This window comes from Homo sapiens, chromosome 3 (genome assembly GCF_000001405.40).
Source record: "Homo sapiens chromosome 3, GRCh38.p14 Primary Assembly".
Taxonomy (NCBI): domain Eukaryota; kingdom Metazoa; phylum Chordata; class Mammalia; order Primates; family Hominidae; genus Homo; species Homo sapiens.
Genome location: NC_000003.12, coordinates 113,269,420 through 113,281,646, shown reverse-complemented (window position 1 = coordinate 113,281,646; position 12,227 = coordinate 113,269,420). Strand labels below are relative to the sequence as shown.

Sequence of the window (12,227 nt, the reverse complement as noted above, 5' to 3'; positions counted from 1 at the left end):
TGTGACTATGTTTAACATGTTTTAAGTGCAACAGAAAGGGGCTGGTCTTGTAGTTAAGACAATCCTGGCCCAAAGCATGCTCTACCCCTAACCGGCTGCATGGCCTTGGCTGCAGTATACAGCTTCCTCATGCCCACTTCCTTTCCCATCTCATGGGATTGTAGTTCAGTTAAATAAACCAACCCATGTAAGCACCAAATATCATTGCAGGAATAAAGTATTTATAGGAAGTTCCCAACTTAAGAATGAGGTCTATCCCCTGATTTCATGGATGAGTTAATTATCAAGTTCCTTGAAGGTGTCATCATGGTCTATTTAGTATTAGGCACAGACAAATGAGTAGAGAGTGAAACATGACCAAGTCTGAGGGTATTTGGAAAACAAAGAGTCTTCCTGGGAAAGAGGCCCAGCACCGCACAGGCACAGGGAATGGTGACTCTGCCTTCCCTCGCTGGAAACACCAAGACAGGAGAGAGAACCCAAAGAGCTTCACCTTTGGTCTCACAGATCATCACGTTGCTGAACTCGCTCTCCCCTCCTTCATTGAAGCACTGCATCTTAATGTCGTAGGAGGTCTCTGGCTGCAGGTGGCTGATGGAGTGCCAGTACTTGTCCCCTGGGAAACAGAGTCAGAGAATGGTGCATGGCAATGTGTATATGGTTTTCTTGATCCCAATCTCATAGTCAGACTCAGCTGGGGCAGTGTGTGGGGGAGGATGCCACTGACTGGCACAGGGGCGGCGTGTGGAGGAACGCTGGAGGAAATGTTCTAGGTGTCCACCCAGGTTGTCCCATCATCACATGGGTTCATGAAGTTGACAGCTTCAAGGGTATTATGAATGAGTCAATGACACGGAGCTTAGAGCTTCGTGTCACACCAGATGCAGGTTTATGCTTCACCAGATTTCACCAATACCTTGTCCCCCATGCCAGCGGAGGAAACTATATCACGCAGAAGCTATAAACACAGAACTGTGTCTCACCTTCCACCATATCCTTCTTGTAGTCACTATCATTGTCACTGTCTGTGGGTCGATAATAGATATAAAAGCCATGGATTGGGGTGTTGTTGTTACTTGCTGGGATGTACTATAGGGAATGGAGAAGAAACAAGTTGACAATGGGCAGAGAAAACATCATCAAAGCAAAACCACTGGTGTATGAAGGTTCTACCCCAGTCCAGAGTTTGAATTTCACTTGGGACCCCTGGCAAAGATTTCTAATGATATCCCTGAGGTTCTCTGAAAAATGTTGTAAAGATTACTCATTATTTTATTTAGCCTAGAGGTCCCTAAGCTTTTGAAGAGAAGAAACAAATTGCCATTTCTCCAAAGACTTCAATTGCTTCTGATCTCCCTGGACATGTGAGGGGCCCCTGTGGCTGAGAAGGGGCCCTGAACAGTTGTGTTGGGATCCCCTGTGGTGTCAGGGGAAGGGCAGGAAGGAGGGTGAGGTCTACCAGGTCAAGGCACCAGAATCAACAGGAGACCACTAGAGCAGCTCCAGCCACTAAGAGCCTCCCAAATTCCACTGATGAAGCTTTCAGGTGCCCTGTTCGGGGGAGTCTAATCCCCAGGCTCACAGGGAAGGGCATTTAGGGGAGGCCGTCTTCCACTGCAGTCCACGGCCAGGCCCGCTTACCATCCACTTGAGCATGATGGTGGTCTCATTGACCGCATCCGTGAAGGTGATATAAGGACCTGCCACGGGCCTCTCGTACACGCGACCGCTGTAGCCCGACACCACGTAGGGCCGAGAGGGGGCGCTGGGCTCGCTCTCCCCCAGCATGTTCAGAGCCCGGACTCGAAACTTGTAGGAGGTGCCTGGTGAGAGGGACACTCACTGAACTCAGGAGCTGGGAAATACCTTCTGATTCTCCCATGGCCTTTCAAGGCCCAGGACCTGGAGGGGTCTTCTGGGCAGCCCTTCCCCAAAGCAAGTTCTCAAAGGCCTCACAAGAACACCCGCCACTGTCAGAGCTGAGCTGCAGGGGAGATGGCTCTGGATGCTCTTCTGGAGGGAGGCAGAAGGCTTTAGGACTGTGGTAAACACCACAGACAGCAACATGGAGGCATGCTGGTGGGTGGGGGCCTGGGCCGAGAGAAGGGGATCCCAGGCTCGTCATCCTCCTCCAGGCGGAAAGGGGCAGCTGGGGGATCAGGCCAAGGCCACGGTGTGGCCAGGCCCCTACCTTTCTCTAGGCCCGTGATCTCCACGGACAGCCGCGATGGGGGGATGGCGCTGGTGGCCAGAATCCAGTCTCCCACTTTCTTTAGCTTCTTGTACTCCACACGGAAGGACTGGATTGGGAACCCACCATTCCCACGGGGAATCCAGGTCACGTACACTGAGGTCTCGGAGGCCGTGGAGATGGTGGGCCTGTCGGGAGCTTCTGGGGCTGGGAAAGACCGTATCCAGTGAGGAAGGAAGCAGGGTGAGATGACGTGAGGAAGGAAGCAGGGTGAGATGACGCTGTATGCCCACTGGGCCTGGCCTGCTCCTGACGGGCCCGCTCCTCCCCACAGCCCTCCACCCACTGGTGTTCACATCAGACCTCCCCACGGCTGCCTGGGCTTTGAGCTAAGACCCCTTATGCTATCCTTCTGCAAAGCCAGAGTGTGGAGGCCCAAGGACCACAGCTCTGGCCTCTGCTGCTCTCTGGATGCACCCAGTGAGCAATCCCAGCATCAATGCCAGCCTTTTATTTAAAAAGCTCCAAACTACATTTCCTCATTGTGGTTAACTGGGAGATGTCATAAAAACCCTGGACCTACAGAAGCAAGACCCCATTCAGCCATGGGAACAGGCCTCTGAGGCAGTTCCAGTCCTGACTGCGCGTCCGTCCCTGCTGCTAGCGGCTTACGGGAGAGGCGGCCGTGGTCTGGCTGGCTGCTGCTCTGGGGACTGGCTCCAGGGTCGTCTCTCTGGATCTGCTGCTCTTTGCTGGCCATGATCTCGGGTTTGGGCCGCCGTCCTGGGTGGAAATGGGTTGTAGTCAGCAAGGGAGGAAGCAGGCATGAGATCTCCCTCCCACAGAGTCCTTTTTGCCTGAGACTCTGCTAAGCGGCATGACAAAGTGATGCAAATAAGCATCCGGGGCACTGAGGGTGTGGGCTCAGCCTCGGCCGAGACTGGTTCTGTTGTGGTACTATTGCTGGCCCCTGTGTGAGAGAGGGATGAAGGGGTGCCAGAGAGGCCGGCTGGCTACTCTCCTGATGAGAGCTGGGACCTCAGCCTAGCACACAAACCACAAGGAGGCAGTAGCTGGAAGGAAAGATGAAGTTCAAGGTGAACAGCTGGGGCAAGGTGAGCAGGAATTCTCACCTGGGCCAGTGGAACTTGCTTAGACCCACGGAAACCCTAAGCAAGGGGCAATGTTTGACTCTCACCAGTTCGGAAGGTGACCATGGCTGTCTGGCCCTCTCCCGCACAGTTGTAAGCTGCCATCTCCACTTCATACAAGCTCCCGGGGTCAAGTCTGGTGAGGGTCAGGCGGTGCTGGTTGGCTGGAATGCCAGAGATGGTCCAATCGTCAGAGGAATTTGTGACCTGCTGGAGAAGGTAGCTGGTATAAAGACCGGCATCTCAGCCTCGGGCTACGAGTGGGCTATGGTTTACAAAGAAAGCAGCGCTGAGCCCAAGAGGGCAGGAGAAGGGGAAGGACGATAAGCCAGGTTGGGGTTAGGGTGGCACAGCCTCGGACTGGCCCCCCTGGCTATGGGACACCAACCTCACTGGGACATTCAAGTCAGGCTCCCTGATCCCTCGTCTAATGATCTCATCAAAGAAACCTCAGTGGGGGAAGTCAGACAGCCTGACTGATATTGCTGAGAACTCCTCCAAAGACCTTCTCTCCCTGTATTTCAAAGAATCTCCATGTTTTGTTTTCTTTCTCCTTCTGTATGTAAACCAAATGCAGTTCCCTCTGCTTATATTCTAATGAGACACAATGATGAGAAAGGTAACGAAAGTATCAGCACCCATTAAAATAGCAACATTCGCTAAGCACTTGCTCTGTGCTATGCATGGAACTAAGCAGTTTATAGGTGCTACTTCCTTTTCCTCAAAATAGCCCAAAAGATTGGTGTTAATATTGTTTCCACTTCACAAATAGGGAGACTAAGGTTTAGAGAAATGAGCAATTTGCTCAAGGCCACACGGCTAGTGAGCACCAAAACGGTGACTTGACTCCAAAGAGCATGCCCATCATTGCACCCTATCCTGGGAAGAAGAGTCTGGGATCCAAAGTCCTGGGTTCAAATCCCGGTTGTGTAACTCAGAGCAAGTCCCCTAACTCTCTGACCCTTCAGCTCTGCATTTCACCAATGAGGCAAATAAACTCTCTCAGGTTATTCTGAAGATTAAATGAGAGAAGTTGTATAAAGTGCCCCACAGTGAGCTTGGTGCACAGTAGATGCCCAGCAAATGCCTGGCCTCTCTAGACCCCTCTCCACATCCTCAGCCCAGTGCAGTTTCTATCATTTCAATCCTCTTTGTTTCCGCTCCTGCCTTCAGTCCTTGCTCAGAACTTAAAAACTGTGGATGAATTGTGACTGTGATGGATTAATCTTTAATAGCTTCAAATTCCTAGCTCTTTAAAGGAAAAAGTAAGGGAGCTCCAGGCTCCCCAACAGGTGATGCTGAGAGGCTGCTCATCTTTGCCGCGCCACCTTTCGGGACAACAGACTTTACTGCCAACTCTACACCCCAGAGAACCTGCTGGAGCCTCAAGTTGTGGTTTGCTGAAGGAAGAAAACAGCTGTAAGGAAAAGCTCTTCTCTCTGAGCAGAATATTCCAAAGTCGAACAAAACCTACCATTCAAGGCACAGGAATGGTCTGGGCTCATTGTCAGGCTTCCAGGATTTGTTCCAAGGGGAGACGTTTTTACAAACTGAGACTCCCCAGTGGTGCTGGAAACCCAAACACAGTAGCCCAGGGTCTGCAGATGCACCAGGAAATGAAACTTGCTTCATGGATGTGAAACAGTGAAAATTAGCTGAATGATTCCCAATCCCCAGCAAGAGAAGGGGGATGAAAAAACACAGCCCGAATGCTGACTTTCGATTTCAAATTCTTTCTCGGGTGATCTTTAAGACTTGTTAGTTCCGTAAGAGAGGAACTGCTTTCAAGCCAGAACTTCTGCCTTGGCAACCCCAGGCTGAGGAGACCCCAGGCTGGAGCCTGAGAGAAGCCAGACGCAGCAGGGGCCTGTCCGGACTCTCACTTCCCCTGCGCCCCATGTACCCTGCCCTCCCAGCACTGGCCTCACACTTCCACTGGGCCCAGAAATGAAAATAAGAAATAGAAGGGTAATTAGTCACTGTCACACACACTGAGGGGGTGAATGCGGCCTGAGCCTGGCATTTCCGGATCACCACGGCATGGCCTTTGCCAATCTGCCTCTTCTGCGAGGCTGCTTCACGGCCACCTATTGGCCTGAAAAATATTAGTCTTGCTCTCATGCTGGGTTTTGTCTCCTGGGAACCATGGGCGTTTGGCCTGCCCTGATCTTTGTCTACAACTCTGAGATGGAGGTGTCCAGTTACATGGGGAAATAGGATTAGGACCAGCCCTGCCCTACAACATGTGAACAATGCTGCTTTTTGTTAAAAACTCATTCACCCGCTTTGCTGGCTGCCTATGAAGAGGCCAGCAGGTGGAGGGCTAATGAGAAACTGCTCGCCCCGTCCCCCTGCCTCTGGGGAGGCAGCAGAGGGAGCATAGGGGGTGCTCTGCCTTAGGTGTCTTTCTGACAACCCCAGGGTCTCTGTGGACTTGTCCTGACCCAAGGACTTCTAGGAGAGCATGTAAGGGGAAAAAAACAGAATAGAAGGAGTCAGGGGCCAGGGCTCCAAGGCAGGGAAACAGCTTCCGCACAGCTAGCGCTCTCCACTGTGCAGGGTTGGTTCTGTTTTCTTGCTTGTTTGTGGAGGTGGGGAGGAGTGGAGAAAGACTTTTAATTCCACATTCATATGCTTTCCATCAAGTGCACATAGCATTTTTATAAGCAAAATCAGCATGTATATGCTTTTATCACATACAATTTTTAAAAAACCATTTAAGAATAATAGTTTTCTACTATCAAATGGCCTTAGAAAGAAAATGGCATATACTTGGAGTGAACAAAAACATTTTCAAGGACATTTTCTTACAGGGAATTTCATGTCCTCATCCCTGTGGGGTAACGGCAGGTAAGAGCACGGCCTTGAGCGAGAGTGGCGGCCTGGGGACCCTGCCCTGCCTCACAGGACACAGTGTCCAGGAGCATAGGCCTGGCTGGGCTCTGCCCCCGCATCCTGTCAGAGCCCGAGACTCCCTCCCTGACAGCTCCTGAAGCATTCACCTGGACAGACTTCCTTCTGTCAAGGAGAAACAGCTGAGGTCTGAACAACATGATGTGCTTTGAGCTCAAATGCCTGCTTGTCCAACCCAAGCCATGACAGATTCTGAGAACTGAGCGGGTGTTTCACAGCCTACAGAGAAAACACTTGTTCACAAATATTTGTTTTCCTGGCATTACAGCTGGCTTACCATGCCAGGGTTCCTGCAGGTATGTACCCAGCACGGCTTACTTTCATAAAAAACCAAAATGTAACATCAACAACTAACGACAGAGGAAAGCAAGAAGGAGGGTGATGGTTACCAGGGAGACTGTTCACGGTCTCCTCAGGGACTAGAAGCCAGTGTGAGCTTCTGGGAATTGAGTGCATAGAGCTTAGTACTGGATGCACGCACAAGGCTTTTTCCTGGGCCTTCCAGGGTCCCACACACCCATCTTACAACCAGCTTCCTGGGAGGTGGCAGGGATGGACACTGGAGGAGACAGAAGGGCCTGTTTAGTGGTGGGGATTACCGGCTCAGGCTTCAGGAGCTCAAGGGGAGATGGCCAAGAGACAGTGACTCTGCTCAGCCTTGCTGGAAAGGCTGTGCAGGGGAGGCAGCAGCCCCACACCAGGGCCATACCTTGCGGTGTTTCACCACATAGTAGAGGATTGGCGCCCGGCCACTGCCCTCATGCCGAGGCCGCCACACCAGTTCATATGAGTCTGTCTTGGAGGTGCGGGGCGAGCTGAGGATGATGGGAGCCTCGGCGGGAGCCCCCTGCCCCTTCTCTCCTGGACACTGCGGGGAAGCAGGCCCCACTGACGTTGGGGGTCTGGGGAGCGCCGGTTGCCCCCTCAGCATCTGCTCAGGGTTGCCGAGTTTGGAGGGTGATACAGGAGGTGTGCCAGTAGCCAGCTCAGCATCCTGCCATAGCCTTGGGGTTATGCCTGGAGGACCAACAGGAAGCAGAAGGAAAGGTTAGTCTCCTGGTTTACCTGCTGAGCTGTTGTTCCTGGGGAGAAAACAGAAAGAAGACAGAGAGGCAACCTGGGCCCACCATCAGCTGTACCGCCACCCACTCTGTGCTGCCCAGCCAGGCTCCGTGGAAGACAGCGCTGGTGTCCCTGTCCTGCCAGAAGGAAAAGGCAGGCTGGCCTGCCTGGCCAGGGCTCAGGGGTGGCTTGGGTATGGCAAGCAAACTCCTGAATCCACGTGAGGTGCATCTCCAGTGAACTAACTCAATTTTCTCCCGAGGCCCAGGAACCCTGCGCCTTCCTTCTCGGTCTAGGCTGGAGGTGGGGACATGTCCCTTCATGGTGGAATTTTAACACCACGGCACCATGTGGGCCTTTTCCTACTGAATATGAGATATGAACGCAACTGGGAATGTCCTCTGAGAGTCTGTGAGGCCAGGAGGGGCAGTGCTTCCTTCAGGAGGTTTCCACAGAATCTGCCAGCACCTGTCTCTCCTCTACCTGACCTTCCCCACCACAGGACATGGGCACCCGATAATGCTGACTTAGCATCGTATTATATTCATTGCTGTATTTTTCTCAAGTTGTTTCCCTGGTAAGTTTCGTCTCCATAGGGGAGTTCTCGAGGGCAGGGTCTTTGCCCTGTTGCTCTGCATCCCCATTACCTCTCCCTAGGTTGAGCATGGTCACTGCTCAGCTGGCATAGGCCCCAACTGGAATGAAGCTTGCTGAGAAGGACAGACTGGCTTTTCTTTACCAAAGCACTAGAGTGGTGGTTGTCAAACTGGGTTCCACAGAAATATTTTTTTAAAATACAGCAATTAAATGGGTTATTTTCATTAGTGAAAATCTGTACTTCAGATTTATTAAGTTCATATAAATTTGAGCTTACAACTAAAAGCTACTTTTTTCTATCTTATATACTGGGGTTCCAAGTTAGATTTCATTTGAGAAAAGGATTCAGTGAATCATCAGCTGGAATCTCAGACCCCTGGGCTACACTCACTTGGCCTGGAGGTCCGCAGCTGGACTACGGCATGGGCGCTCCCAACCTCGTTCTCGGCCATGCACTGGTAGACGCCTTCGTCCTCAGGCCCCATGCTGAGCACGCGCAGGGCCCTGCGGGAGAGCCGGAGGCGCTGGCTGGAGATGAGGGGCACAGCATTCCTCAGCCACAGCACGGAGGGCGGGGGGTTCCCACGCACCTCACAGGTAAGCTTGGCACTCTGGCCCCAGGGGATGACCAGCTGGGATAGCTCCATGGTGACCTCAGGGGGTTCTGCCAGGAAACCAGAGCAGGGTGAGAAGGGCTGTGTCTTTCTGTCCCAGGGCCAGATGGGCTGGGAGGGATGTAGTTAGGAGCAGCTCCCCTGCCCTTTGGCTGTTGCTTTTTCCTAATGGGCAGAGTAGAGGGAAGGAGAGGTCTGATGTCTCCACCATCAGAATCATGACAGGAGGGCTCCAGGACTGCGTGCTCTTACTCTGGGATCCGAAGAGCCCTGACTCTTCAGCATGCCTGTTCCTCACTCAGCATGTGGCCTTTCACAAGATGCTAACCCTTTGTGAGCCTGGGTTACATTTCTAGAAAGGCTGCACAGACCAGAGAGAAGGCCAAGCAGAAGACAGTCCACAGCAGACACTCACCAAACACCTGGACATTGTAGAGGATGACCGCTGCCCCGGGCTGCCCAACCCCATTGTCGGCCATGCAGCGGTAGGTGCCTGAGTCCTCCTCGCTGGTGGTGTCGATGAGGAGGTTGCTCAGCAGGAAGCGCGTCTTGTTGTAGCCGGTGACACTGGACCCATCCTTGGCCCAGGTGACCCGTGGGGGTGGGATTCCACTGGCCACACACTCCAGAATGAGACTCTGGCCTTTGGTGACGATGATGGTTTGGGCCTCTGGGGGGTAGATGATGCGGGCAGCCTCAGCGGTGGAGCCTGGAGGGGCAAGGAGGGCAAGGACAGAAGGCGTGTGGACCAGGATGTCCTGTAGAGCATGCCCAGGAGGCAGTCCCAGAGAGCATGGAGATGGGATCAAACAGCCATTCCGGGTCTTTCAACCTATGTAGAGTGGGGCGTGCTACAGAATTCCCTTGGGGCTTGGTGTCCTTATCAGAAACAAGGACTGCTTCTGCAGGGAGCTGTTATGAGTAAGAAATGAGATAACACAGAAGAACAGCAGCATCAACATAACATATGCACAGTTAACTGTGTGCTGGCAAAGAGAGAAAGGTGAGGGAGTGTAGAGGCAGTTTAAATGGTACAGATATTTCTTTCTGCTTGCACTCAGTATGTGCGCTGTGAGGCTGAAGATGAGATGGGAAACAAGAATCTGCCATGCTCTCAACCCCACCCTATGGTTCTCAGGCCCAACTGTCTCTCAGTGAGCATCTCAGAGCCGGCCTCCGGCTGAGCTGAATGGAATCCACTGTTTAAACACATGCATTTCTCATATTGCAAGGTCCCCAAATGCAAATCACCTATGTACTTCCTCAGGTGCACAGCTGGGAAAGCTGTAATCTTTTTTCAACACTGTGGACAAACTGCAGAGAACTCACTGAAAGGCCTGTTTACTCTCTAATGTGTGCCGTTCCTCAGCAACCTTCAAGGAGCAAGGGGACTATGTGTGATTCCGCTTTATATGCCAACCAGGGACACACCCAGGTTTTCTAAAACCTGAAATTTATACAGTTTCGGAGGCCCCAAAAAGAATGGAAAATGATACATACAAAGTTAGGGCCTTGTGAGGCTTCTGTCAGTGAGTGAAAGACGATGGAAGTTTAACTTCATTAGCTTCACAGTGATTCCATCTCTGGTGCCAACTCTAAGCCTAACTCCGTGTAAGATGTCACTCCTTTGAATTGGCAGGGATCCAGGCAAGCGCACAGAAAGGTAGCTGCTGTTTTCCTGTGCATTGAGAGCATGTGGGCCTCCCGGAAGCTCACCAGAGGGTGGTGCAGGGCACACCTCATCAGTGCAGAGAGTGCAGGCCCAGGGACCTCATATAGGGCAGAACAGCAGCCTGGAGGCCTCCCACGTGGCCATCTGTTCTAGGCACATGCTGTGTCCGCTGCTGAGCTTGAGACAAGACCCACCGTCCTGTCCCAGCACACACATTCTGACCCATCCCAATCGCAAAGTAACCGTGAAGGAAACCTCCCATCAGGCAGGTGTGGCAGCAGGCAGTCGCCTGGTGCTGTGTGCTGTGAGATGCTGGCCCTGAGGCCGGCCAGAGGGGAGAGAATCCCTGGCTGAGAACCCCTGGCTGTCCCCCTGGCCAAAGCCAGTGCACACAGAACTGGAGCTTGGATGTGGCACCTCCAGGTATCTACCTCCCTTTCCATCTTTGTGAGCCCTTCCATCAGTGATCCCCCATCCCCCAGCAGGTGGGCCCGGGCCTTACGGCGCACACGTAGCCTGTCGCTGGAGCCGGAGGTTTTCACTTCCTGGGTCACTGGGTTGTAGGCTGCACACTTGTACATGCCCTCGTCCTCCTGGCTGGCATTCACAATCTGGAGGTTCCCTGAGGGCATGATCAGGTAGTTACCTGTGGAAAGGGCAGGGCCAGGGGAAGATGGGATGGGTCCAGAATACTTCACTCTGCAGCTTCCACAAAGGAGAGGTGCACGGAGGGAGAGGAACAGGCTGGGCAGGCACTAGGAGCTGATGTCCACCTGAGTCCCCACAAGACAAAGCCTAAGATGCCGTTCTCCCCATAAAACCTTGCAACAAGCAGGACAGAGTGCCAGAGAGAAAAGGTAACTAACCAACCAGCTAACAGACTGGCTGACTGACTAACTGCCACAACTTAGTGCATAGGTCAATAGAAGAGCATTTTATACTTTAAAGGGAGCTAAGGGAGGCTAGAAAGGAAGCAGGATTTGGAATCAGCCATGGTCTCACACTCTGGGTCTGCTGGGTATTAGCTGTGTGATCTTGGGCAAGTTAATTAATCTCTCTGATACAGTTTCCTCATTTGTAAAAAGGCTTAATGTATGCTGCCTCAGGGCTATTGTAAGGATTGAGAGGCCCAGGCTGCACACATGAGAGATGAGATCATTCCTGCAAGCCTCCAGGAAGGAGGAAATTGATTTTGGAGCTTCCCATCATTCTCCCTTCCCAAATGATGAGCAAATCTTCCCACCAGTCATAGCCATCACTCGGAATCGCCTCATTATTGCATTTCTGCTACTTGGAGAGGAATATTCTGACTTTCAACCACTGTCCTCCCCATGAATGCCACTGAAATCCTTTCTTCCACATCAGGGGCCTGTTAGGCTCTGTCTGCTCCTGGTCCACAGGTGCCCTGGGATGGTGCCTCACGGGTGTTCAGATTCTGTAGCTAGGAGGCAGAGTCACAGCTCCTGGACACCCCAGCAACTCGGGTGGCATTTGGCTTCCTGGCAGGTAAAGCTATGGCCATCAGTGCTGAGCTTTGCCCTGGTGGCCCCTCCTGAGAGCCGTGCTGTTGCCAAGCCTGGTGCCTGCCTGCTGCTGGGCCACCCAGGTATGAGCTGCTTATTAGCAAGTGCCAGATGGAGTGGGAGAAACCCTTGGCCCTGGTGGGACAGGCAGGCCTCTCCCAGAGGCTGCTGCCAACCTTCTGCTGGGGACAGCAGGGATTAATGCTCTTCTTCCCCTAGTCTCCAGTTAGTTCTGAGTGGTTGGATTAGGTGTTTTACCTTTTTGAAAACAGTTTTCTGTATTCTCTAAGTTTTCTATAATGAACATATGTTCCTTTCATAACCAGAAAGAGTTGATAAAAACTCTTAAAATCTATAGAATATTTTTAAAGGTATATATATATATTTTTTTTCTTGAGACAGAGTCTCACTCTGTCACTCAGGCTAGAGTGCAGTGGCATGATCTTGGCTCACTACAACCTTAGCCTCCTGGACTCAAGCAGTTAAAAGGTGTACATTTTGAGC

General features: G+C 52.2%; 1 protein-coding gene across 38 annotated transcripts in view, besides 3 other annotated features; it reads right to left on the bottom strand.

The window, feature by feature from the left end:
• Positions 1-12,227, bottom strand: part of BOC (BOC cell adhesion associated, oncogene regulated) — a 76,534-nt gene that overhangs the window by 5,813 nt on the left and 58,494 nt on the right. For 9 of the 38 annotated variants that reach the window (NR_170866.1, NM_001378075.1, NM_001387925.1 and 6 more), the window contains 10 exons: positions 10,703-10,846; positions 8,944-9,237; positions 8,306-8,578; positions 6,965-7,272; positions 3,390-3,549; positions 2,864-2,974; positions 2,192-2,398; positions 1,642-1,823; positions 984-1,089; positions 494-616 (listed from right to left, as the gene is read on the bottom strand). Coding sequence is in view for 37 of the 38 variants with exons in the window: in NM_001378075.1 (NP_001365004.1) it covers positions 494-616; positions 984-1,089; positions 1,642-1,823; positions 2,192-2,398; positions 2,864-2,974; positions 3,390-3,549; positions 6,965-7,272; positions 8,306-8,578; positions 8,944-9,237; positions 10,703-10,846 (1,908 nt within the window). In the remaining variant the exon portion in view is untranslated. Of the gene's footprint in view, positions 1-292; positions 617-983; positions 1,090-1,641; positions 1,824-2,191; positions 2,399-2,863; positions 2,975-3,389; positions 3,553-5,974; positions 7,282-8,305; positions 8,579-8,943; positions 9,238-9,964; positions 10,847-12,227 lie in introns of those variants that run through there. The other 29 variants (XM_047449188.1, XM_047449186.1, XM_047449187.1 and 26 more) reach the window with 9 other exon arrangements.
• Positions 5,043-5,122: an enhancer, noted in NCBI's record as "active region_20250". NCBI's record gives its function as "activates an Ori minimal core promoter by ATAC-STARR-seq in GM12878 lymphoblastoid cells {active_cell/tissue: GM12878}" and the evidence as "EXISTENCE:reporter gene assay evidence [ECO:0000049][PMID:35858748]".
• Positions 5,533-5,632: an enhancer, noted in NCBI's record as "active region_20249". NCBI's record gives its function as "activates an Ori minimal core promoter by ATAC-STARR-seq in GM12878 lymphoblastoid cells {active_cell/tissue: GM12878}" and the evidence as "EXISTENCE:reporter gene assay evidence [ECO:0000049][PMID:35858748]".
• Positions 7,874-8,736: an enhancer, noted in NCBI's record as "H3K4me1 hESC enhancer chr3:112991758-112992620 (GRCh37/hg19 assembly coordinates)". NCBI's record gives its function as "activates a minimal SCP1, AML or CMV promoter by ChIP-STARR-seq in naive H9 embryonic stem cells {active_cell/tissue: H9 hESC(naive)}" and the evidence as "EXISTENCE:reporter gene assay evidence [ECO:0000049][PMID:30033119]".